The following is a 27828-nucleotide window of genomic DNA, read 5'->3' as shown; positions in this document are numbered from 1 at the left end:
TTCACGCCTGTAATCCCAGCATTTGGGGAGGCTGAGGCAGGTGGGTCACCTGAGGTCAGGAGTTCAAGACCAGTTTGGCCAACATGGTGAAACCCCATCTCTACAAAAAATACAAAAATTAGCTGGGCGTGATGGCAGGTGTCTGTAATCCCAGCTACTTGGGAGGCTGAGGCAGGAGAATTGCTTGAACCCAGGAGGCTGAGGTTGCAGTGAGCTGAGATCGCACCATTGCACTCCAGCCTGGGTGACAGAACGAGACTCCGACTCAAAAATAAATAAATAAATAAGAAGGAAATAAAAGGTAATGACTAGAATAAATTGAATAGACTTAAAAATTTTTTTTACAGTATTTATGGGTACATGCCATATAGATGAATTAAATCAGTTTGAGCACATTGTATGATATATTTGATTTAAATTCCAGTGTACACTTGTCTAGTTGCAGACTGCTAGCAAAGTTTGTGGATTAGCAGGTGGTCCACACTTTGAGTAACATTGTTATAAGTACTTTTTTCCCTCTTAAAAAATTGTAGAAGCAGTTAAAGGTTTATAATTTGCTGTGTTAGGTGTTAAACAAAATTGCTAAATTCAGCAATTGCTTGATTGCTTATTTAAAATTGTACTCTAAAAGCCCTATTATAATTAACTTTTATTATTTTCTAGAAACTATCCAACTCTGGCCAATATTGAAAGGAAGAAGAAGTTAAAACTTGAAAAGGAGAAGAGAGGAGCAGTATTGACAACAACACAATATGGGTAAGCTCCTTATGCTTATGAATAATGAAAAGGAGCACAAAACAAAATCTTAAAACCCTTATGTACTCAATTATGAAATCTTTGCTTTTGTAACTTATTTACTTAAAAAGATAAATTTATTTATTTTTATTTTTATTTATTTATTTTTTTGAGATGGAGTCTCGCTCTGTTGCCCAGGCTGGAGTGCAGTGGCGCCATCTCGGCTCACTGCAAGTTCCACCTCCCAGGTTTGTGCCATTCTCCTGCCTCAACCTCCCGAGTAGCTGGGACTACAGGCGTGCGCCACCACGCCCAGCTAATTTTTGTATTTTTAGTGGAGATGGGGTTTCACCATGTTGGCCAGGATAGTCTCGATCTCTTGACCTCGTGATCTGCCCACCTTGGCCTCCCAAAGTGATGGGATTACCGCACCTGGCCCCATGCCTGGTAATTTTTGATTGGATACTTGACACTGGAAATTTTACATTATTGGGTGCTGTATTAGTCCATTTTCACGCTGCTGATAAAGACATACCCGAGACTGGGCAATTTACAAAAGAAAGAGGTTTAACTGGACTTACAGTTCCACGTGGCTGGGGAAGCCTCACAATTGTGGAAGAAGGCAAAGAGGGGCAAGTCACATCTTCTATGGATGGCAGCAGGCAGAGACAGGAGAGCTTGTGCAGGGAAACTCCCCTTTTTAAAACCATCAGATCTCATGAGACTCATTCACTCAGTATCACAGGAACAGCTCAGGAAAGACCCAATCACCTCCCACCTGGTTCCTCCCATGACATGTGGGATTGTGGGAGTTACAATTCAAGATGAGATTTGGGTGGGGACACAACCAAACCACATCAGGTGCTGTATATTTTTGTGTTTCTATAAATGTTCTTGAACTTTTTTCTGGGAAGACAACTGAGTTACTTAGAAACGGTTTCATCCTTCTGGATCTTGCTTTTAAGATTTTGTTAGATGAAACCAGAGCAGTGTTTAGTCTGAAACTAACTACTCACTACTGATGTAATATCTTACTGGGTATCTTACCCCATGCCCTGTGAAATATGAGGTACAAACAGGCCCTAGTTATGACTCGGAGTGAAGATGAGGTGCTGATAACTCTGATCCTTTTGGGTCGTTTTTTTCCCCCAACCTTGGATAGTTTCCTGACAAATACATGCCAATCAGTCTTCTGCTAAATAGTCCAGGGTAAATCCTCTGCAAATCTCTAGAGTTCTCTCTCTTTCTGTAGTTTTTTCCTCTCAGGTACATCCTGAAGCTCTAGATGTCTTGCTCTCTCTGGTGTCTCAACTCCAGTTCCTCAATTCAGGGATTCTACCAGGTCCCATCTGGATTCCTCTTCTCCGCAGTCTGGAAACTCTTTAAGGCTGTAAGCAAGGGCAGTTGCAGGGTTCACTATTCATTTATTTTCTGTCTTTCAGGGCTCACTTCTCTTGTTGCTTCATGCCCTGTGTCATAGAGACCATCGTTTATTCATTTTGGCTAGTTTTTTGGTTATTTCAGGTAGGAGGATAAATTCAGTCCCTGTTACTTTATTTTGGCCAGAAACAGAAGTTCTTAATGGTGTCTTTTATAAATAAAAATTTCAATTTTCATGAAGTCTGATTTATTAATCTTTTATTTTTATGGTCAGTGCTGTGTGTGTTCTGCCTTAAAAAAAACTTTTGCTTACTTGGAGATCATAAAACTATTTCTTTATGTTTTCTTTTAGAAGATTTATTGCTTTGTGTTTCTGGTATATGTCTAGAATTAATTATTGTACATAGTGTAGGGTTTAAGGACCTTTAAAACTTTTTCACATATGAATTACAGTTGATCCAGCACTAATTGTTATACCATGCAAACCCCAACCAAAAGTAACCTGGTATAACAATATTAATGTCAGACCAAATAGATGTTAAAGCAAGATGTGTTATTAGGGATAAATAGGAATATTTTGTAATGTTAAAAGAGTCAGTGCAACAACAAGAAGACATACCAATTCTAAATCTGTATGTGTCTAGAACATAGCTTTAAAATATGTAAAGTGAAAATTTTGAAACACAACTCTTGAGCAGAGAGACAAAAATCCTATACAAAATGTTAGCAAATCAAATCTGGCAATATGTAAAAATATGTAAAAATATGATATAACATCATGACTAAATGGGATTTATTCCAGGAGCATGTTTATTTATCACATTAACAAAGTGAAGGAGGAAAATGCTATTAACTTAATGAGTAAGGAAAACAGTTCGATAAAATGTACCACCTGTTCATAAAAAAGACATATTAGCAAACTAGTAATAGAAAATAATTTCTTTAATCTAATAAAGGATATCTATCAATACTCTGTAGCCACATCGTACTTAATGGTGCAATAGTGATCACTCCCCCACCTCCCCTAAGATTAGAAGCAAGATAAGGATGTCCAGTGTTACCACTTTTATAAATGAATTTAGCAAGGTTGCCAAATACATGTAAGATCAATATTTTTAAAATCAACTCTATTTCTATAAAGTAGCAACAATTAAAAATTGAAAATTTAAAAGATACCACTTAGAATAGCATCAAATGCCTAGGAATAAACCTAACAAAAGATGTGCAAGATTCTACACTCAGAACTACAAAACATTGCTCAGAAAAATTCAAGGCCTGTATAAATGGAGCAATATATAATAGTCATGGACTGGAAAACAATATAATTATCTTAATTCTCCCCCAAATCCAATTAATTACAGTCAAAATTCCAGCAAGTTTTTTTTTTGTTTTGTTTTTTTTGGTGGAGGAGGGATGGGGGAGATTGATAAGCTTTAAAATTACAATGTGTCACTTAATGACAGGGATACATTCTGAGAAACGGGTTAGGAAATTTTGTCGTTATGAATATCATAGAGTATACTTAAACAAACTTAGATAATACAGCCTACTACACACCTAGGCTGTGCAGTAAAGCCTGTTGCTCTTAGGCTACAGCCCTGTACCGTGTGTTACTGTATCCAGTTGTAACACAATGCTAAGTATTTGTGTATCTAAATATAGAAAAGTTTCATTAAAATGCACCATTAAAGGCAAAAAATGGTATACCTGAATGGGACACTTACCATGAATAGAACGTGCAGAACTGGAAGTTGCCTTGGGTGAGTCAGCGAGTGAGTGGTGAGTGAATGTGAAGGCCCAGGAGGCTGCTATACATTACTGTAGACATTACAAACATTGTACACATAGGCTACACTAAATTGTTTTATAAAAGTAATTTTTTACTTTATGATGTTATGACATTACTGGGAATTATTTAGCTCTGCTATAATCTTATAGGACTACTGTCATATATGTGGTCCATTGTTGATCAAAATGTCATTATGTGGTGCATGATTGCATATGAAAATACAAAGGATCTAGAACAGCAACTAAGAAAGCTCGAGTAATGAAGATAGTGTGGTGTTGTCCAAGGATAAATAGATAAGTAGAGCAGAATAGAGCCCACAAACAGATCCACTGAGAAACAATCACCTAACTTATGATAAATCTGGCAATATAATGCAGTGGAGAAAGGATCGTGTTTTCAACAACCTATTCCTTTTAAACTTTTTGTGTCTCTATATTTAAAGTGTATCTCTTATATATTATGTAATTTTGTCTTCTTAGTAATCCAAACTGAAAATCTTTGCCTTTTAACTAGTGCTTAGTTCATTTACGTTTAATGTAATTCCTAATATAGTTGGGTTTTTAATTTGTTCTTCCTTTCTTGCCTTCTTTTGGATGGAATCTTTTTTTTATTAATCTCTCCATTTTATATTCATCTACATTTTTATTTACATTATGCCTTTTGTAACTATTTTTAGATGGTTGATTACATAAACTTTTCTTTTCAAATGATTGTCAAGTCGTGGTATAACAGAACTACTCCCTTGAAGGTGAAATAGAGTGCAAATAACAGATACACTACTTTCTCAATTAAGTCTTATAGATGTCATTAGTGAAGGATCTTCTTAACTCATTACTTATTAGTGAATACCTTAATGATGATCATTCAGAAGCTAGCTGTGGTCAGATGCTGTAAGAGAAAAGATAACGGGGAAGGCATCCGTGAATGGGAGCTCAAAGAAAGTGGCATCTCTTCATTATCCTTATGGGGCCAGTGGGCTGGAGGCAGAAACTAGACCTGTTTTCTTTGCAGTGACACTGTTAGGTTCTTAGCCTGACATCTGTGGATGGACATAGGAGATTGGTCCATGGCTTTCTGCAAAATTTGGACTATACATATATATTAATTTTTGTAATGAGATTCTCCAAGGGTTATTATGACCCTAAAGGGATTAAAAATCTCTGGATTGCAGATATATAAACATGTTGATTTAACAAATTATTTCAAAAATGTTATGATAGTAAACTACCATTTATTAAGGGCTTAATGTGTTATCTTGCTCTGTGAAGTACTGTATTTATATTATCTGAATTCTATGTCCCTATAATTCCCATTCTGTTTAAAGGAGTAAACAGGCTTAGGCTTACAAATATTTGTACAGCAGACACAGCCCATAACTGACAAAGTTGAGATTTAGATGCAGATTTCTAATTATTTACTGCATCCTCCATTATTAATGAAAAATGAATTTTGCCCAATAAATGGCAAACTGTCAAAAGCCTATCTTTGCAAAAACTCAGTCCCACCAATGAATACCTTGTGTTATTGTCTACTATGAAGGAACCTTTTTTTAACTGTCTTCCCCGCCCCCGCACACACACACACAGTTTAAATTAGAAGATGCTCACATAAATACGTGCTTTCTTTTTTTTTTTTTTTTTTTTCTGGAGACAGAGTCTTACTTTGCCCGGGCTGGAGTGCAGTGGCACAATCTCGGCCCACTGTGACTTCCACCTCCCGAGTTTAAGCAATTCTTGTGCTTCAGCCTCCCGAGGAGCTGGGACTACAGGCACCTGCTACCGTGCCCAGCTTATTTTTTGTATTTTAGTAGAGACGAAGTTGCCCAGGATGGTTTCGAACTCCTGAGCTCAAGTGATCCGCCCACCTTGGCCTCCCAAAGTGCTGAAATTAAAGGCGTGAGCCACCGCGCCCGGCCAATACTTGCTTTCTTTCTAAAAGTAGTTGTAGCTGTTGAGAGGGCACTTGATTTGAGCTGGCTGTGAAATTGCAATAGGCTTATGTGTTCTGATAGGCCTATAAAGCAGAGAAAATAGTACCTGTGTTACCTATTTCAGAGGGTTCATGAAGGTCCAACAAGTCATATTTGTAAATGCTTCAGAAACTTTAACTCCTTAAAAATGAGTAGACAAGGCCAGGTGTAGTGGCTCATGCCTATAATCCTGGCACTGTGGGAGGCTGAGGTGGGTGGATCACCTGAGGTCAGGAGTTCGAGACCATCCTGGCCAACATGGTGAAACCTTGTCTCTACAAAAATACAAAAATTAGCCGGGCTGATGGTGGGTGCCTGTAGTCCCAGCTACTCGGGAGGCTGAGGCAGGAGAATCGCTAGAACCCAGGAGGTGGAAGTTGCAGTGAGCCAAGATCATGCCATTGCACTCCAGCCTGGGCGACAGAGTGAGACTCCGTCTCAAAATAAAATGAGTAGACAAGAGTGAACATACTTTATAAACTCTGAGAAACACTTTGAGCTGGGCACAGTGGCTCACACCTGTAACCCCAGCACTTTGTGAGGCCGAGGTGGGCAGATCACGAGGTCAGAAGATCGAGACCATCCTGGCCAACATGGTGAAACCTTGACTCTACTAAAAATACAAAAATTAGCTGGGTGTGGTGGCACGTGCCTGTAATCCCAGCTGCTTGGGAAGCTAAGGCAGGAAAATCGCTTGAACCTGGGAGGTGGAGGTTGCAGTGAGCCAAGATCATGCTACTGCACTCCAGCCTGGGTGACAGAGCAAGATTCTGTCTCAAAAAAAAAAAAAAGAGAAGAAAAAAGAAACTTTCATGTACAATAGAAGAATGAAATAATGCTGCCAGTTAAATTGGCCTTTAATGATAATACGACACAGCCCAATTTCAGAGGGATAACAATATGGGTAGAAATTTGCAGCGTAGAATCAAGAAGGTGTGGTATATTGTGGGGTGCTGTCCTTCTAAAGTTCTATCATAGGCTTCCCTGTCTTTGAAAGTCACTGGAATTTCTTTTATTTTCGTCTCTTTAATGTACTAGGCTACAAGTGATCAGTTTTACAGCTAGGTTTCTTTTGTATCTAGTAGTCTTTTTCAAAATTTTCTTGGAAGGTCAGTGCCTTTTATATTAAAAATTGCAATTTTCTTACTCCAGCAAGATGAAGGGGATGTCCAGACATTCACAAATGGCAAAGATCAGAAGTCCTGGCAAGAATCACAAATGGAAAAACGACAATTCTAGACAGAGAGCAGTCACTGGATCAGGCAGTCACTTGTGTGATTTGAAGCTAGAAGGTCCACCGGAGGCAAATGCAGATCCTCTTGGTGTTTTGATAAACAGTGATTCTGGTAAGCTAAACAGGAAAATAACGTATTTATAAGTGTATAGACAATGATGCTGAAGTTGATTATTCACAGCCTTGCTTGTGGAAAGTTTAATATCAAATGTATAACAATGCAGAATGATGCTTTTGTTTTTGTTTTTAATAGGAGCATCTTGTTTAAAACGTCATTTCAGAACATCTTTTCTGAGTCTTGGGTGGGCACATGGGGCAGGGAGGCTATAGGAGAAGGACTGTATTTGCTGGATAATTTTCATTAGTATGAGGTAATCTTAGAAATTTCTTAAGATTGTTTTGAATGTATTAATGCTGTGCATTCAAATTTGCCCAAATATGTGGATTTTCCCTTTACCTATAAAGCAGCAATTCTAACGGAAGTCAGTATACTTTATGCTACTGAGCATGAGCATGATCTCTGGGCAAAAAATACTAATTCATTATGTTTGATCAGTACTGTTCTTCAGAGCATAGATTATATTTATATATGTTTGTCCTTGAATTTCCTCTAAAACATATAGGGCAAGTTAACTTGCTTATTAGTTGAAAAATAAAAGCATTAAAATGCTGGTGTCACATACAGATATCATTTAGCCTTTGAGACTCCATTTCTCTTCCTGAAAAATGAAATGTGTATGTAAATATTTTTACTACATTTTTCTCCAGTAACATTGTGAGGCTTTATCTAATTGCATATGCTTTGTACTGCAAAGGAATACCCAAAGATTATTAGTGAGTGAATTGACATTAGTGACATTGTAGATTTGATTGTAGGCTGTTTAGCTTGGATGATGTTGGCTTCTATGATAATCACATGGCAAGTTTTTGAACTTACGAGTGGCAAGAAAAGAGAGGATAACTAATTCGTTGACTGAATTAGGATGGAAAAAGATCATTGCATAAGGGAACATTAGGCTAAGTAGAAGATAAAATTTAATAACATTAATGATGATATATTAATATCAACTAACACTGAATAAGGCACTTACTGAGCTCTATATGCTTTATATAGATGAAGTCTTCTTATGACAGCCTTTTACACATATACCGTTACTGTTACCATTTTAGAAATGAGGAACATAGAGACTAAGTATGTTTATGCCATTGAAAGTAATAGTAAAAAATGCAGTTACTTTTGCATCAACCTAATAGTTTATCTTAGTCATTCTGCTCATTAGTGGCAGAATGAGAATTTGAACATATGAGTCTCACTCCACCAGTACACTACACATCCTCTAAATATGAAGTCTGAATTTGTATAAAAAAATATTGTTTGAGTCTAGGATAGTTGAGATGTGAGAGAGAGCAAGAAAAAGGCAGATGATATTTTGAGCCAGTGCTGAGTGTACTCTTGGGCACTGATTTTTTGTTTGTTTTCTTTCAAAAAATTTTAGAGAGAGCTCACATGCTTCTTCAGACTTGTAATGTGTGGCCTTGATGACAAAAGACCATCTGTACTCAAATATAAGCTTTTATGTCATTAAAACACTTAAAACACAAATGTGAAGACTACCATTATAATCAGTAAGTTACTAATTTGAAAATTATGTAAATCTTTTACTTTGTGCAATTTTCTAAATGAACACTTGAAGGACTCTAAGACCGATATTGGATAGTCTTTGTTGTTCTTCATTTTGTTAACTTAGCTTTGGTAGATGGTTAATTCTGTTTTCCCTTTTTATTTAAAAAAAAAAAGTATTTCAGTATATACTAATCTGGTAAAACACCAACTAAAAGACGATTGTATCTTGCTTCTATTTAAGCTTGTCTTAGTCCTCAGTAGATGCCTTAGACATGAGAAACAGTGGTAAATCCTCTCATCCTTATTGGTAGAAATAATTCAGTTGGATTCTGAGGAGCAGTTGAAAGAGAGATCTCAGGCTGGGCATGGTGGCTCACGCCTGTAATTGCAGCACTTTGGGAAGCTGAGGCAGGTGGATCAACTGAAGTCAGGAGTTCACGACTAGCCTGGCCAATATGATGAAACCCTGTCTCTACTAAAAATACAAAAATTAGCCGGGTGTGATGGTGCATGCCTGTAATCCCAGCTACTCGGGAGGCTGAGGCAGGAGAATTGCTTGAACCCCCGAGGTGGAGGTTGCAGTGAGTTGAGATCACACCATTGCGCTCCAGCCTGGGCAACAAGAGCAAAACTCGGTCTCAAAAAAGAAAAAAGAAAGAGAAATCTCAAATAATTTTGTTTTGGTTTAAATGTTGAAACCCTTACCTATAATGAGGGTCAAGGATGGGAACATGCCTATTTCGAGTGTCAAAGATGAGAACCTGTATCTTGAATATAAAAATTACCCATATAGACTACAAATTTATAATTTTGAATATTTAAAAATTTATTAATTTTTATAATATTGTATTATAACCAAGGAAATCACAATGCCAATGATCAAATTATGGTAGCTTAAGTTTGTAGGAAAGCTGTCATTTAAATTCACCTTATCCTTTACCTGGGATTTCCTCTGGACTTTGACATTTTCCAAATCTGTTTTAGACCAGGGGTTCTTAACCCCTGGGCACAGACTGGTACCTGGTACAGTTCCTTAGCCTGTTAGGAACCCCAGGGGGGAGCGGGGATGGGGAGGCGGGGAGCAGCGAGCAAGCATGGCTTCATCTGTATTTACACATTCCCTATTGCCTGCCTTACTACCTGTGAGCTCCGCCTCCTGTCAGATCAGCAGCAGCATTAGATTCTCATAGGAGCGTGAACCCTATTGTGAACTGTGCACGTGAGGGATTTAGGTTGTGTGCTTCTTATGAGAATCTAATGCCTGATTATCTGTCACTGTCTCCCATCATCCCAAGATGGGACTGTCTAGTTGCAGGAAAACAGCTCAGGGCTCCTACTGATTCTACATTATGGTGCATTGTACAATTATTTTATATATTACAATGTAATAGTAATATAAAGTACACAGTAAGTGTAATGTGCTGAATCATCCTGAAACCATCCCCAATCCACCCCCCACCCTCTGTCTTTGGAAAAATTGTCTTCCACAAAACTGGTCCCTCGTGCCAGAAAGGCTGGGGACCGTTGTTTTAGGCCATAGGTTCTTTAACTTTTCACTGCAGGTATAGCTACAGACAATCTATCCCCGTTTTCATATGTCCTAAGTCAGGCTTGTCCAAACCATGGCCCATGGACTGCATGCAGCCAAGGATGGCTTTGAATGCAGCCCAACAAAAATTTGTAAACTTCCTTAAAATATGAGATTCTTTTTTTTTTTTTTTTTTTTTGAGACGGAGTCTCGCTGTCGCCCAGGCTGGAGTGCAGTGGCGCAATCTCGGCTCACTGCAGGCTCTGCCCCCTGGGGTTCACACCATTCTCCTGCCTCAGCCTCCCGAGTAGCTGGGACTACAGGCGCCCGCCACCTCGCCCGGCTAATTTTTTGTATTTTTAGTAGAGACGGGGTTTCACCGTGTTAGCCAGGATGGTCTCGATCTCCTGACCTCGTGATCCACCCGCCTCGGCCTCCCAAAGTGCTGGGATTACAGGCGTGAGCCACCGCGCCCGGCCAAAATATGAGATTCTTTTGTGTGATTTTTTTTTTTTTTAAGCTCATCAGCTGTTCTTAGTATATTTTATGTGTGGCCCAAGACAGTTCTTCCAATGCGGCCCAGGGAGGCCAAAAGATTGGACACCCCTGCCGTAAATATTCTCCACTCTCCAATATATGTTTTCCACTTGTTTGGAGGCAGCTTCTCTTACCTTGGGCAAGAGCCAGCCAACCTTAAAATCTGGTTATTCAAGTTGTCAGTGGCAGGCCAGCGGCCAGCACTGTGATAACAAGACCCACTGTTCTCATATGGCAGTTGATACTTTTCAGCACTAAGCTCACTTTAATAATAAAGCTCTCCCTATTGCTTCCATTTTTTGCCTTTTTCTGGCTCAGAACTTAATCCAGACATCAGCACTCACATTTTAAACAAGACTCAAGTTCTAGAGGATCTTCATAACTTTCAGATCATGCTTGGAAAATCATTGCCTGGGTTCACCTTTTCTGTATTGTATTTGGTGCCATGTGTACTCTCAGTAATTGTGCAGCTACTTTGAATTGAGAATTGACATTGTTTTGATGGGAAAGCCTTTTATTTAAAGAAGTCTCCCAATTTATCAGTTTTGAGTGTGGCTTATTGTCTGTCATTAGATTTCCTTACTAGCATATTTTTTTATTTCCTTGTGTATTCTGCTGACTGGCCTAACTTAAGGATTGTTTTTTCTTTGTTTATTTTGGTATCTCATTAGTTAGCATCCAGTTCATTTTGTTGCCATTGTTTAAAATATATATGCAACAAGTTTATGGCTTTCCTAGCCTGTAGTTTTAAACAGTAAGTCAGTTGTCTCAGCTAGGAAGAAAGTGGGTCAGTAAGGTAGCATTGAGCATCTGTGACTGAAGTGCCTCAGCATCCACAAGACAAAGGCAACCCAACTTATTAGTCATTTGTTGAAATACAGCTATTGTCGTAGAACACTGGGACGTAAGTCTAACTATGCACTCACGTAACCTAGGTTGTTTTAAAGGTAGGCATTAAAATAAGAAAATAAACTGGCCCAGCACATCAGGTGTCATGGATACCCACTGGTAACTGTCTTCTTTGAGAGCTGGAGACTATAAAGCAAAGTCCCTATTTTTGAGGGTGACTTTGAAAATATATTGCATTTTTTAAAGAATACTTAATTGCAAATCTTGGGCTAGAGCATATAATTGTGCTTTGCTCCATAAAGGCAATAGGAAATCGTGGGATGGGGGTTGGTGGGCAGGGGGTACGGATAAGTAAGTAAAGAAATAAGTTACAGGAAGAAGCCAGATAGGAAGCTTTTACAGTTGGTGTTTAGAGCGGACAAGGCATTCAAAGGGCAATGTTATTTTGCTACTTTCCTTTCAGTGGGGATTTATAAGGTCCTGCGTTTGGCTTACCCAGCACTGTAATCCACTATAATGCCGAGGATTTCAAAGGAGTCTCCCTGCCTTCCAGAAACTCATAGTCTAAGAATAATTTTTAGATCATTGCATTAGATTTTTTTAGGGGGGGATGGTGGGAACATGATGTGTGTATACGAGAGAGGTGAGATTTACCCTAAGAAAAGTGTCGCTAATGTTTTAATGGTAAAAGAAATTGTTTGAGCTCGTATTTTATAAAAATGCTAAAGTCTGGTTCTGTCAGATCAATTGCTGCTATCTCTATGCTGGTATTTTCAGTTTAGAAAGATGTTTTAGCTGTTTTTATAAAATGAAGTTTCTTGAGTATTATTTTGTCAGCCAGTACAATGCCTTCAGCATAGTCTTTACCTATAGGTGCTAAAAATGCCTGCATTAGAACTACTAGGTAGATCCCAGGGACTTTTCTTTCTTTCTTTCTTTCTTTTTAAGATGAAAAGTTACTGTAGGAGATGTTCTGAGAGTGCCAAAAGGACAGTATTTTTCAAAGTGTTATTACATATGGTTTGTCCCTTAAACATTTAACTGAGTGGAGAAGAAAAAATAGGGAAAGAGTTGTTTATTTGTGTGAATTTGTAACTTACCCTTTAGGTAAGTCAAGTATAGTGAGCTTTGACACTCCTAGGAACAAGTATACCTAGCACTCTAATTGTGGTTTCCAAATACTATTCTCCAGGTAAAGGAACCAGAGCCTGTTGGAGAAATGACTGATTCTGGGGTTGGGACAGGGAAAATATAAGCTGAACCTAGAGCATCTCATAGCGCCAGAAAGTAAGAAAATGCTAAAAAAATGTGAAGATGTGGGTATGTCAGAAGGATACTAGAAAGAGTTCCCAAGGGCCAAAGTTGGAACAATTGGTGCCACAAAATAAATAATAATAAATTATAACCCTCAGAATAGAATAAATACCCATGAGTCTATACTGATATGAGTGCCTAAATAAATAAATAAATGTGGGGGAGGAGGGACAGGTCTTTCTTACAAAATAATTCTAATTATTAAATGTAGAAGAAATGAGAGAAATAGCAAGTCAGCATTAGAGCACCACAGTAATAATTGTTTTGGGCAAGATCCACTGATGAATGGTAAAATTAGTGGTGAAACGTTAAAATGAAACAATATTTGTTATAGCCTCAAAATATCTCCCCCCAAAATATTTATTAATTATAATAATTATTAATTACCATGGTTTTAACATATGTCGAAAATTCTTTGATATTCCTTACTTGAGTTGAAGCTTAATTCTTCTTCCCTGGAGTGTGAGCTAAACTTAGTAACTCATTTCAAGAAATAGAATAATGAAAGAGAAAAATAGTAACTTTGTAGTAGAGAAAGCAGGCAGACCATAAAGTGGTCAAGGTCAACATTGCCAGTAATAAGTCCTACTGATATTATGGACCTGGGTTGTGATGAGAAGGGCACATCTCTGTGGTATTCCTTCTCAAAATCCATAGCCTCAGTCTAATCTTCAAAAATGTCAGACAGACCCAAACTGAGGGACATTCTAAAAATACCTGACAATAATCTTCAAAGTATCAAGTTCAGGAAAAACAAGGAAAGACTGAGAAACTGTCACAGATTTAAAGAAGATTAAGGAGTCATGACAACCGAATGCAATGTAGTATAGCAGATTGTATCCTGGAACAGAAAAAAGGACGTTAGTGGAAAAGCTGGTGAAATTACATTACAGTCTATAGTTTAAATACTAGTGTGGTACCAGTGTTAACTTCTTAGCTATCATAAAGTACTTTGGTTATGTCAGATGGTAACATCAGGGAAGCTGGATGAAGGATATATGGAGACTCTGTACTATCTTTGCAACATTTGTATAAATCCAAAATTGTTTCAAAATACAAAGTTTAAAAAAGAAGGGAGGAGGGAAAGGACATTAAAGCCTTGCCCTCGGCTTCATGAATTGGATTGTGAAGAATACAGTTTTCCAGAGTCAATTTCCCTTTGTTTTTATTTTTTTCTGTTATTTTCTGATTATAAAAGTAATATAGAAAATGTGGGAGCTGGGCATAGTGGCTCATGCCTGTAATCCCAGCACTTTGGAAGGCCAAAGTGAGCAGATCACTTGAGGTAAGGAGTTCGAGACCAGCCTGGCCAACAGGGTGAAACTCCGTCTCTACTAAAAATACAAAAATTAGCCTGGTGTGGTGGCACGTGCCTGTAATTCCAGCTACTTAGGAGGCTAAGGGGAGAATCGCTTGAACTCAGGAGGTAGAATGCACTGCACTCCAGCCTGGGCAGCAGAGTGAAACTCTGTCTCAAACAAAAACAAAAACAAAAAAACAGAATTATCAAGATGATTGAAGCTGAGTAAAATAATAGAGAATGGTGGTCAGAAAAGGGGATATGTGCTTTTATCTGAAGTGATCAGTAAAGGCATCTCTAATAAGGTGACATTAAGACATCTGAATGAAATGCGAGGCTGATACCTAAGGGAATAGCAGTCAAGGCAGAGAGACTGCCACAGTCACCCCAGCCTTTAGTGACCACAACCCTGATCAGTCAGCAGCCAGCAACATCAAGACAGTACCCTCCATCAGCAAAAATATCACAATCCCCTGAAGTCTCAGATGAGTTTTAGCATTTTTTAGCAATGAAATATTTTTAAATTAAGGTACATTTTTTAAGACATAATGCTATTGCACACTTCATATGCTACAGTATAGTGTAAACATAACTTTTATATGCCCTGAGAAACCAGAAAATTTGTGTGACTTACTTTATTGCCATATTCACTTGATTGCAGTGGTCTGGAACCAAATCTACAATATCTCCAAGGTATGATTGCATATCAAATAACTGTTTGGAGTTTTACTATAAAAGGGAGGAAAGAAATGGAGCTATAGCTGGGAGACATTATTAGCATTATTGTGGACCATAAAGACACTTTGATAGGATGGCTTCATTTTAAGAAGACTTTGTCTGTGGGAAGCATTCTAGCTCACTGGTAACAATTTGGATTTGGAGTCAGATAGCCAGGCTTTAAATTTGACCCAACTGATTTATAGTTATCTTAAGGAAAGGTTACTCAAATTCTCTGGATTTTTGTTTCATCCCTCATCACATACCTCATAAGGATTAGGTCAGATCATGCTTTTGAAGAGCATAATATTCAACTATTACTGTACTTTTTGTTACCTCTCTTTGAGTCTTGGAAATAAATGCTGCAGTTTTTTCTTTCATCATTCAGCCAATGAATGGGAAGTCTCCATACTAACACTGTGGTGGATTTCTGCTTAATCTACTAGTAATTCACATAAACTTCATACTTTCCTTTCCCTTTATTAATCAAGGAGTAAAGGTAACTTAGCTTAAAATTGACAAGGAGTACTTTTATAGGTGTGATGGTGTGTAGTGAGGAGAGAGGATTTAGCTCCATCCAGCAGAAGGTGGCAGTTGAACATTCACATAGAAAGATATTCCCATTTCCTACTGGCATGCTTTGGTTTCCCCTAGACTGACTTGGTGAACATTAAATGCTTAGTCTTGAAACATTTTATATTGGTTTTAGGTTGAGTTGGTTAATTAAATAGACAAATTACTTATTGTCTTCAGTGAGGCCTTATTTTTATTGGTTGTCTAGAATAGAGTTACTAGATTGTTAGAGCTGCCAAAAAGAAATGTAATAGGTGGTGTCCTGGGGCTACAACTAGGCTTGCTGGGCCTGGATCAAACACTTTATATTTGGCAGGCACTTTAGTATTATGCTTGGTAAATTCTCATGGTTGCCTTGTTTATTTAAGTTCTTAGAAGTTTTAAATAATAAAAACTTTGAGTGGGCTGGTCACAGTGGCTCACACCTGTAATCCCAGCACTTTGGGAGGCCAAGGCAAGCTGATCAACTTGAGGCCAGGAGTTTGAGACCAGCCTGGCCAACATGGTGAATCCGCATCTCTACTAAAAATACAAAAAATTAGCTGGGCATAGTGGCACACGCCTGTGATCCCAGCTACTCAGGAGGCTCAGGTAAGATAATTGCTTGGGCCTGGCAGGCAGAGGTTGTGGTGAGCCGAGATTATGCCACTGCACTTCAGCCTGTGTGACAGAGCAAGACTCTGTCTCTAAAAAAACTTTGGGTGGATTAATTCCAGCATTACTGTTTGACTAAGCCTATAGAATGCTTTGAATATTATTTGGATCCCCAAAAACAGTCTTAAAAACAGTTAAAAGCATAGGTATTTTAATACTTCATTTATTTCTAAACCTAATTTTCAGAGGCAGTGATCCCAATCCAGTGAAGTTAAATAAAGTTTGGGTCTTCCTACTACCTGTAAATGAACAGCAAAGACTATGTAATTAAGTTAATTTAGAGTATGCTCAGATTGTATAACCTGTGAAGCATGCTAAGTAACTGAGCTCTATATAGCTTCCTTTTCCCTCACTGTCTCCTCTGGGGCAAATGGTTTCTTGGCCCATGAAGATGTCTAAACCAAGGGGAAGTGTTTCTGGCCCCCTAGAATTAGTCTTTTGGAAAGATTAAGGAAATGATCAGAAATTACTTAATTTTCACTAACAAATGAGGGAATGGGGGATGGACAGCTTTTTTATGGTGGTAGATGTTTTGAATCTGACTTCTTTTCCCTTCAGAGTCTGATAAGGAGGAGAAACCACAACATTCTGTGATACCCAAGGAAGTGACACCAGCCCTATGCTCACTAATGAGTAGCTATGGCAGTCTTTCAGGGTCAGAGAGTGAGCCAGAAGGTAAGTCATGGTGTGTGTTGTTACAGGGTTTTGTTTTGTTGCTTTTTGCCTTTTGTGCATGCTGCGCATTAATAACATCCAGGATGTGCATCCTTTATTTGGTTTTCAAATTCCTTTTCCATTTGAATCAGAAGTAAAGTTAACATGGGTTAAAGGAACTCTGGAGTAATAAAGAAATGTGTTGCTACTCTGGGAATAAAAAGGCAAAAAAATACAATATAGGCCGGGCGCGGTGGCTCACGCCTGTAATCCCAGCACTTTGGGAGGCCGAGGCGGGCGGATCACGAGGTCAGGAGATCGAGACCATCCCGGCTAAAACGGTGAAACCCCGTCTCTACTAAAAATACAAAAAATTAGCCGGGCGTAGTGGCGGGCGCCTGTAGTCCCAGCTACTTGGGAGGCTGAGGCAGGAGAATGGCGTGAACCCGGGAGGCGGAGCTTGCAGTGAGCCGAGATCCCGCCACTGCACTCCAGCCTGGGCGACAGAGCGAGACTCCGTCTCAAAAAAAAAAAAAAAAAAAATACAATATAATGAAAGAATAGGAAGGAAAAGAAAATATCCACTAACAGAACTGAAGAAAATTCTAAACGAAATGGCAAAAAGAAAATTCATTTTTTTCTCTCTGCTCTGAAGAACCCTTGTTATAACGTGTTTATAGCATCTTTGGTAGATGGAGAGAGATCTTTTATGACAAAGAGTGTGATACAATTTTTTTAATGCATATAGGGCATTGTTCTTCCTAGAGCATATTTACATAAATTATCTCATTTGGAAAACACAACAACCTTATACTTGTGTCTGCATTAGCTTGTGCATTTTAAAGGTCGGAAGAAATTGAATCTTTTCAAGAGTCTTTCTGAGAAGTCAGTAACTTTCAGAATACATGTCTTACCTTTAAAGATGATGTTACGGATGGTAACGTGTGAGGCTTCATTGTGAAATTTAATTGTGATAAACCAGTTTAATTTCCTTCAGCATCTCTTTCAGGGCTACCTGAAAGAGCCATGAGTAGGCTCTTGATCTGATGCAGTGTAGCAGTTTTTAATCCAAGGTTTATATCAATAATCCAGCATATGTTTAATGAATAAATCTATGTTCCACTGTTGTGGACACCTGGCTCTGTGTGGTCATTTTATTTAGACTTTACCAGCCGTGAGAAAATTCATGTCTATGTCTCAGGACAAGATGTGTAATCAAAGTAGGAGCTGTGCTGAGAATAAGAATACAGGTCTAAAAGTGTTTATATAGAATGAAGAGAAGATTCAAATGTAATTGGATGGGCCAGGCACGGTGGCTCACATCTGTAATCCCAACACTTTGGGAGGCTGAGGAGGGTGGATCACCTGAGGTCAGGAGTTCGAGAGCAGCCTGGCCAACATGGTGAAACCCCATCTCTACAAAAAATACAAAAGTTAGCCGGGCATGGCAGCACGTGCCTGTAGTCCCAGTACCCAGGAGGCTGAGGCAGGAGAATTGCTTGAACCCAAGAGGCAGAGGTTGCAGTGAGGTGAGATTGTGCCACTGTACTCCAGCCCGGGTGACAGTGAGACTCTGGCTCAAAAAAAAAAAAAAAAAAAAAGGAAATGTAGTTTGATGGAGATGGCAGCACTTTTAATGTTGACTAGGCTAGAGATAATCAATGTTTATGTATTTGGAAGATGTTGAATAAGGAGCCGTTAGGCTTTAATATGAAAAATGGTGTTTACATGTATCTGTAACATGGGAAGTTTTTTCTTTTTTAAGTGGGCCATGGCTTACTATGGTAGCTTCTTAATAGCTACTTGAATTTTGAAATATAAGCTACTTTGGCTTTATCACAGTATTCCTTAACAGATGGTTGCCTATTTTAATTTTAAGAAAAATAGCATTTTTTTGTGCTCTTGTTTCTCATACATTGGTGTGAAGATGGAGTTATTCTTTAAACACATATTACATTTCCTGCTTATCAGTTGTATTCATAACAGGTGATAGCAAAGAAAACTATTACCAGAATTACAGAATCCCATAAAAACAGGCTGGACTAATGCTTGCTTCTCTGTTTCTTAAGATGGAACAGTATTTTTATACTCATGTCTTCATTTTGAGACTGCCATCATTTTAAATTGGAAGAAAGGAAACTGGAAGGGATCTTTGAGATCACCTCTTTATTTTATAGAACCTTAAGCATAGAAAGGATAAGCTTGGTCGGGCACGGTGGCTCATGTCTGCAATCCCAGCACTGTGGGAGGCCGAGGCAGGTGGATCACCGGAGGTCAGGAGTTCAAGACCAGTCTGGTCAACATGATGAAACCCCATCTCTACTAAAAATACAAAAATTAGCCTGGTGTGGTGGTGTGCGCCTGTAATCCCAGCTACACAGGAGGCTGAGACAGGAGAATTGCTTGAACCCAGAAGGTGGAGGTTGCAGTGAGCCAAGATCGCACCACTGCACTCCAGCCTGGGTGACAGAGTAAAACTCCATCTCAAAAAAAAAAAAAAAAAAAAAAGGAATAAGCTTGGCAAGCTGGTATGTAGCAGACCTGACATATAGGTTTGGAGTCTTAAAAGTCCGAAGAAGCCAACTTTCATTGCCTTCCATTATAGTCTTTCTCTCTTTGGCATTTACTGTCATCCTGCACAATAATGCGTAGACTTTTCTTTTATAGATAACAAAGGATATTATCTGTTAAACTATATATAAGATTTTGTATGAATGTATTTTGACTAATTGTTAAAATGTCCTGCTTTAAGGAAAAAACCCTTGCTTCACATTCCTAAGTCTTAAGAATTATTTTATATAATTTGAATTCAGCTTTATTAAGCCATCCAGGTCACTAGCAAATTTCTAGCTTTCAGTATTAATTCTGGGCTCTAGGATGGGATATTGACACATAGGGAGTTTTAAATAAATAATACCAAGGAAACAAAGTGGTCTTTTAACCATGAAATAGTATCTAGAAGGCTGCTTATTTACCTGGATTCTAAATATATAGGAACAATCTGTTTCTTCCTGAGTTTAACAATTGTGTCTTCATAATTAAGATCTGTCTTGACTTAAGAATTAGCATGAAAGTGTTTGGAATCTTAAACATGGATAGCATTTTTCTGGAAAGATATTTAAACAAGGAAAGTGTCCCTCAAGTAAGACTGAAGCAAAGGAAGAGGTAATACTCACATCAGGGTCTGTAAGAATCACTAAGATACAAATTTAATAAGAAATACTTCCAAATGGGTTGGTTTAATATCTATTCTGCATGTTAGCATTTTAGCATTTTTTTAACTGTGTTAGAATTTAAGCACAGTTTTACAACTCCCCAAAATTATGTTTCCTCAAACTGATTTGGCTATAATGGGGGAGATTTCCAAATTAAAGACTATTTCAGAAGGCCACAAACCAAAAAGGGTGTTAAATGTTTGATAGAACTGAATGAGCTATATTTAAAATTTAATTGGTGAACATTACATTAATATATGATACTTATCTGGGAAATGTTGTAAATCTCAAGAAAGAGAAAAATATAAATGTTAGTCCCGTCCTCATTTCTTAGCAGAAAATTGACAATTATAAGCTCTGATTCATTTGACTTTGTGTTCCTGAATTGAGTGATCGATACTTGAGGGGAAGGGAATAATAGAAAATAGTGTCCTGGTTTTTCTTATTTATCATCTCTATTTTATAGATGAAGAGATTTAGGTAGAGATAAGTAGCTTGCCCAAAGGTCACACAGCTAGTAAATGATGGAACTAGGATTTGAACCTAACAGTCTGGCACCAGAGTCTGCTTTTAACACTTGTCCCTATACTTCTTTTCAAATATAATTTCTACATTCAGTCCTATGTAATGTTTGAGTATTATGGGTTTTGCCACTCTTGTCTAGGCAATTGAACCCTGTCTCCCAACTTCTAGAATAGAATTCTTTATATCATATCACACTGATTCATAGTAAGTAAATAGTATAACTATTGGGGAGTGGGGAGAGGTGAAGATTCTGAGCTTAAAATTTGTGAATTTTCAACTGTTCATATGGTTTTTCTCCTTTATTCTGTTAATAATGGTGAAATGTCAATTGATTTTCAAATGTCAAACCAGCCTGTATTCCCAGGATAAAATCTACTTGGTCATGGTCTATTACCCTTTTAATACATTGATGGATTTGATCTAATATTTTATTAAGGAGTTTTGCATACATGTTCATGAGGGATATTAGTCTATGGTTTTCTTTTATTGTAAGAGATTTGGTATGAGTAGGGATCTATTTCCTCCTCTTTTTTAAGGGTTTGTGTAGGATTTCTACCAGTTTTTCTTTTTGTTTCTTGTTTGTAGAATTCAGTAGTGAAGCCATCTGAACCTGGCATTTTGTTTTTGGGAAAGTTTTAAATTATGAATTAAATTTCATTAATAGGTCCAGGACTATTCATATTTTCCTATTTCTTCTTGAGTGGGTTTTGATGATTTGTGTTTTTCAAAAGAATTTGCTTCACCTAAGTTGTTAATTTATTGGTATATAGTTCATAATATTTCCTGTGATATCTGTAGGATCTATAATGATGTCCTCCTCTTTTATTTCTCAAGTTGTTAATTGATTTTTTTCTCTTTTTCTCAAAAAGTCTTGGTGCATTTATTAATTTTATTAATCTTTTCAAAGAACCAACTTCTGGTTTTGTTGGTTTTTCTCTGTTGTCATTGATTTTCACTCTAATCCACTGATTTTCACTTTTTAGTATTTCCTCTTTCCTCAGACCCTACACATTACAGTAGAAGCATAGATAATTGATTTTAGACTTTTCTCATTTCTAATTTAAGCATTGAAAGCCATAAATGTACCTTCATGAACTGCTTTAGCTGTAGTCCACAAATATGATACATTATGTTTTCATTTTTATTTATTTCAAAATATTTCCTAATCTCTCTTATGATTTGTTCTTTAACTCTTGGATTATTTAGAAGTGTGTTGTTTAGTTTCTAAATATTTGGGGGTTTTCTAGCTAGTTTTCTGTTAATGATTTTAGTTTAATTCTGCTACAGTCAGAGAACATATCTCTATACTTTCAATTTCTTCAATTTATTGATACTTATTTTATGGCCCAACACAAGGTAAATGTTCATATGAACTTGACAAGAAAATGTATTAGGTCGGGTGTTCTTTGTCAATTTGAGTTAATCGTTAGTGATATTTTGTATCCCTACGAATTTTCTGTCCAATTTTTCTTTAATTACTGAGATTGGAACGTTCAATATTCAATCATAATAATGGATTTGTCTAATTCTCTTCTCAGTTCTATCAGTTTTCGCTGCAATGCATATTGAAAATCTGTTCTTAGGTGTTATTCTTTGTCTTATTGACGAATTGACCCCTTTAGCATTATGAACTGTTCCACTTCATCCCTGGTGATGTTCACTGTTCTGAAGTCTTTTTTGTCTGACATTAATACAGACTTTCGGCGTTCATGTGATTGGTATATGCTTGGTATCTTCTTTCATCCTTTTGACTTCTTTGTTTTACTTTTTAGGAGTTGGTCTGCAGTTTATAGTATGCAGCTTAACTTTTCATCGTGTACTTTCAAATGATATCTACTTCACATGTAATTTAAGATTTTACAGTGTATACTACTTACATATTCCTTCTGCCTTTTTACTATTGTTGTCAGAGATTTTATTTCTATAGATGTTATAAATTGCACATACACTTAATATTTTTGCTTTAGTTTTAAAATTTTGCCAATGAGGAAAAAAAGTCTTTTATATTTATTCACATATTTACTTTTTCCAGCACTTATCCTTCCTTTGTATAGATCCAAGTTTCCATCTGGCATTATTTCTTTCATAGAGATCACTTTCTGTAGCTCTTCATGGTAGTCTTCTCAATTTTTGGTAGTTACAGCTTCCAATTTGAAAAATACTAGAATACATTATAAATGCCTTGCAAAAATCTTTCATAGTTTTAAGTTATTAAGTGAACAATATTATGGCTAGGAGGATTATTATGGATTTGTTGGTTGCTTTTGAAAGGTCTACCTGTTTTGTTTTGTTTTGTTTATTTTTGTGTTTGTTTTTCATCACACTTAGAAACTCCCATCAAGACTGAAGCAGACGTTTTGGCAGAAAACCAGGTTCTTGATAGCAGTGCTCCTAAGAGTCCAAGTCAAGATGTTAAAGCAACTGTTAGAAATTTTTCAGAAGCCAAGAGTGAGAACCGAAAGAAAAGCTTTGAAAAAACAAACCCTAAGAGGAAAAAAGATTATCACAACTATCAAACGTTATTCGAACCAAGAACACACCATCCATATCTCTTGGAAATGGTAAATTATTTTTCTTTAGGTTCTAATCTTTGTGTTCTCACATCATAAAGATAGAGCCACTGGGGTGTGTGTGTGTGTGTGTGTGTGTGTTTGTTTTAAGGTTACCAGAGACACATTGACCTTGGAGACTTTGTATCTTAATTCTGTAGCTACATTTGGCATATAGCTGGTATATTCAGTGAATGTGGAATAATGTAATTTTTACAACCACTTAAAATAAATTTAGGTTTCACTAGTTGGTAAGGAAGTATCTACTGAGGTTTATTGACTTTCTTTTAAGTTTCCAGTGAAAGCACAGCTAAAAGTACAATGGCAAGCTGAAGGGAAAAAAAGATTTTTAGTACAAATGTCTATTGAGAACCATACAGTAACAAAAAGGAAAGGCCTAAGGTTTTCTGACAATTCTCATTTGTTATCTTCTGGGATTGTCTTCCTTCCCTCCCTCCTCCACCTATTTTTTTTTTTTTTTTTTTTAAGAGTTGAGGTCTTGCTTTGTCACCCAAGCTGGAGTGTAGTGGCGTGATCATAGCTCACTGTGGCCTCGAATTCCTGGGCTCAAGTGATCCTACTGCCCCAGCCTCCCAAGTAGCTGGGACTATGGGCATGCACTACCATGCTAATTTTTTTTCTTTGTACACCTTTATTTATTTGTGTTTATTCTGTGCATTCGTGGCTTTATTCTCAGCATTATGTGCTCAAAAATCTAATAGCTTTCTTCAAATTATAAAGAGGAAGCAATGCATCTTCAAGTTCTCAGTAGTGGACATGAAGCTGTTTGAAAATCAAAGATTTTCATGTCTAAGCAATAGAAGTATTTTACATTTTTTAGTGGAGTTATAAAACTTGACATTCTGTGAAAAGTCTGTTTGGTTTTGACTTACAAGTTAAGTACTTATTTTGTAGCTAAAGTGTTCAGTGGCTACACTCTTGAGGTGCTACATGTAGCACAGTTGCTTCCTATTAAAATGGATCTGAAATATACGCTCCATTTTGTATACATAGTAAATTACATTTTAAAAAGTTACCTTATAATTGGTAAATTAAGTGAGCTTTCCACTGAAAGTTTCTGTATGATGTTTCTGAACTCTATCAATAACACCAGAAAATAAAATAAATTCCTTTTTGGCAAACTACATGTGATTCCTTGATTATGTGCTTGTTCTAAATACCAGGGATTTCTAGCTTTCTTTTAATTACAATAAGCACAAAAATGGAAAGTTATAAAAGTCAAGGAATGTTGGAAGTTTTTACTGCTATTTTCATTGTTACATGTAAATAGATGTACTTACCAATTTCTAGACTGCTTATGAATTTGGGTTTGGGCAATCCTCTTTGACATAATTTTAGATTAAAGAATTGCAGACTTTTTAGCCGGGCATGGTGGAGCATGCCTGTAATCCCAGCTACTCGGGAGGCTGAGGCAGGATAATTGCTTGAACCCGGGAGGCGGAGGTTATGGTGAGCTGAGATCGCATGATTGCACTCCAGCCTAGGCAACAAGAGTGGAACTCTGTCTCAAAAAAAAAAGAATCGCAGACGTTTAAACCTATTTTCCTGTCCTATGCTAGATACTCTTAGAGAGGACTCCAAATATAAGCGTTAGTACTGTTTAAAAAGCTAGATTGTCTTGGCCGGGCATGGTGGCTCACGCCTGTAATCCCAGCACTTTGGGATGCCGAGGCGGGTGGATCACAAGGTCAGGAGATCGAGACCATCCTGGCTAACACGGTGAAACCCCGTTTCTACTAAAAATACAAAAAATTAGCCGGGCATGGTGGCGGGTGTCTGTAGTCCCAGCTACTCGGGAGGCTGAGGCAGGAGAATGGCGTGAACCCGGGAGGCGGAGCTTGCAGTGAGCTGAGATCCCGCCACTGCACTCCAGCCTGGGCAACAGAGCGAGACTCCGTCTCAAAATAAATAAATAAATAAAAAGCTAGATAGTCTTGATATAAATTAAAAGGACATGTTCTTGCATCGTTTTTTAGCAAAATAGTGAATATAATACATATTTCTTATTGTTCTGTCTTCTTTATATGGTGAGGGTACATGCAATATTTTAGATTGTATTTCCCAGATATAATTTATTTACTACCTCATCTTTTTTTAAATTGTGTTTTAGCTTCTAGCTCCGGACATTCGACATGAAAGAAATGTGATTTTGCAGTGTGTTCGGTACATCATCAAAAAAGACTTTTTTGGACTGGATACTAATTCTGCGAAAAGTAAAGATGTATAGGCATCTGGTGTTTCAGCATACATAACTGAAGCATGTGAAACAGTATCATCCTCGTTAGTAGAGGAAAACCAAAACCCTTTTTTCCGTCAAAATTGGATTTGTAATTAAATTGTAAGCCTCGTAGGATGTATGTTGGAATTTTAAGTCTTTCCTTTGGTTCTATGCAAATAAAAAAATAACTGATTTTTTAAGACTGTGTCTGTATTGTTGGGATTGAATCTAGTATTTGCTGGGAGAATTTTTTCTTTGTATTTATTTTAATGTATTGTTCTCATGTAAGAATGACTGATGTTGTGTTAGTTAAGAATTGAAGATAGGTTTAGCAGTAAAGAAGAAAGCTTTTAAAAGGATTGATTCAGCTAAGCAAAGTTGGGCAGAGAAATACAGCCATTTTGTTTTTAATGCAGAAAAGGAAGATGTTCTGTAGCAAGGGGGAATATTTTAAAAATAAACCAGATCAAATTAATACAATCAGAAGGTTTCGAAATGTAAATATTCCTTATTTAAGACATGTTTAAATTCACCTACTAGCACGACTTACATAGCTCAAATATTGAATGTTTAAAATATTAATACAGATGGGGCCTCTTTATGTTTAGATAAAATTGAAGTACTTAATTGAAGCTTTTTAAAAATTGTAAAGTAAATGAAAGCTATTGAGATCTTTTTGTCTCCTATAATACCAGGGAATTTGAGCTTGTGTTCTAGTCATTGTACTAGCTGTAGCTATTGGTCTGTCCTTTTGACATACAGCTAAAAGGGACTAAATTTGTAAAAAATTAGTTTGTTATAGTTGAAGATTAACTTTTCCTAACATTGTGATTATTGAAGTTCATGAATCTTGCTGTCAAGGAAGAAAGGTAAGAAAGCTGATAGCTCCTCCATGTTGGTAAAATCCTCTCCAGAATCTTGGAACACCTGGCATGTGACCCTAGTGACGTCACAGACCTGAGATGAAGATTCATGTTTAGCCAGTGTTTTCCAGCCTTGTACCCACCATACAGATCTGTTTATTCTGTTTCACCCTACTCCTCCAGTGAGCCCCATATTTTGGGAAATTATCTGCCTTATACATTAACTAATTCAATTCATGTAACACTGTTGAGTGCTTACTCTTTGTACCTCTATTGTGCCTATATTAAAGGTATACAAATAAATAAGGCCATGTCTGACTTCAAGGAACTCAGTTTAATTTTGATATATTCAAAGATGTGATTCCCAACCAACTCAGGATGAAGTAACTAGTGTTACAACTGAGTTGATATTCTAAAATATAACACAGTTTGTACTTTTATTACTAGTTAGCATACACATTTTATAGGCTTATGGGTTAATAAATGAATTCATGGACTCCTGGACTACTTTCATTGATGACCATATCTCCAGGGATGTTGTTGATCCCCACACTGCCTTAAGGTATATTATAGAAACAGTTTTATTTTCCATTTTTCTTGTTTCCTGATAATAAATGTATTTAGGACTGAAAATACTCCTGAGTACTCCCTTGGCTGTATGTCTGACAGTCTTTAGCTATGGTGACTATTGTTTATTTTTAATGGGTATTTCAGATTCCAAGTGTATTTAAAATTTCTAAGGAGATATAATATAGCCTGTATGGTTTCTACTTTATGGAATTATATGGTCAATATTTGTAAATATTCTATGAGTTTTGGGTGGGTAGAGGGGTGCTTTGCCTGTTTTGGGTACAGGTTTTTTTGGATTTAGCTTGTTAATTGTTCAAACTTTCTGCCTTCTACATTCCTATCTTATTGTTCGTTTAATCAGTTTCTGAAATGTAAGCATTACATGACTATTGGTGAGTTGTGCCTTTTATAACTGAAATACTTTACTTTTTCTCATATCCTCTATAATTGACTTCTATTTTCCTTAATCAAACCAGCTCTGGGAAATTTAATACATTTATATTAATTGAGATTATTAAAACATTTGGACTATTCCTGGCTGTCTTACTTTGTATTTTCTATATATCATGCTCTCTTGTTTTTATTTTGTCATCTTACTGGCTTGTTATTTTTTTCTCCTTGTTATTCCTCCAGTGGTTTGGAAGTAATTAAACCTATTGCTATTTCTTTAGTGATTACCTTTTTTCTTTAAGTTTAGAGTTAATTAGTAGCCACATCTTCCATCCATCTCCCAATTAAGTCAGTAACCTTAGCATTGTTTCACTTCCCCACCTCAGCCTCTTTTTGTGATGTAATCAGATACGATTTTAGTTTTAGATTAATCCCTGGGATCTTGGTGCGTATGTGTAAATAGTTATTAGGCCACTGTGAGTTTTACTGTTTTCTTCTGATTGCTTTCTCTTGCATCCCAGGATTAGTTTTCTGGTGTGCTGCTGCATATCTTCAAGTAATTAAATGTTGAATCTTCAATTTAAAGTTTTTTAAATTGAGTTATGGTTTTAGACTCAAAA

The 27828-nt window shown here is 37.1% G+C and overlaps 1 protein-coding gene across 2 annotated transcripts in view; it reads left to right on the top strand.

Annotated features, from left to right (window-relative positions):
• NUFIP1 (nuclear FMR1 interacting protein 1) overlaps positions 1 to 27351 on the top strand; it is a 50223-nt gene extending 22872 nt beyond the window's left edge. The window contains exons 6-10 of one of the 2 annotated variants that reach the window (NM_012345.3): positions 664 to 756; positions 7026 to 7219; positions 16762 to 16878; positions 22926 to 23158; positions 25278 to 27351. In NM_012345.3, coding sequence (NP_036477.2) covers positions 664 to 756; positions 7026 to 7219; positions 16762 to 16878; positions 22926 to 23158; positions 25278 to 25394 — 754 coding nt within the window. In that variant the 3' untranslated portion in view covers positions 25395 to 27351. Of the gene's footprint in view, positions 1 to 663; positions 757 to 7025; positions 7220 to 8603; positions 8734 to 16761; positions 16879 to 22925; positions 23159 to 25277 lie in introns of those variants that run through there. The other variant, XR_941559.3, reaches the window with a different exon arrangement.

Source organism: Homo sapiens, chromosome 13, assembly GCF_000001405.40.
Source record: "Homo sapiens chromosome 13, GRCh38.p14 Primary Assembly".
Lineage (NCBI taxonomy): Eukaryota > Metazoa > Chordata > Mammalia > Primates > Hominidae > Homo > Homo sapiens.
The sequence above is the reverse complement of the archived record's forward strand: the minus strand, read 5'-3'. Positions and strand labels throughout refer to the sequence as shown.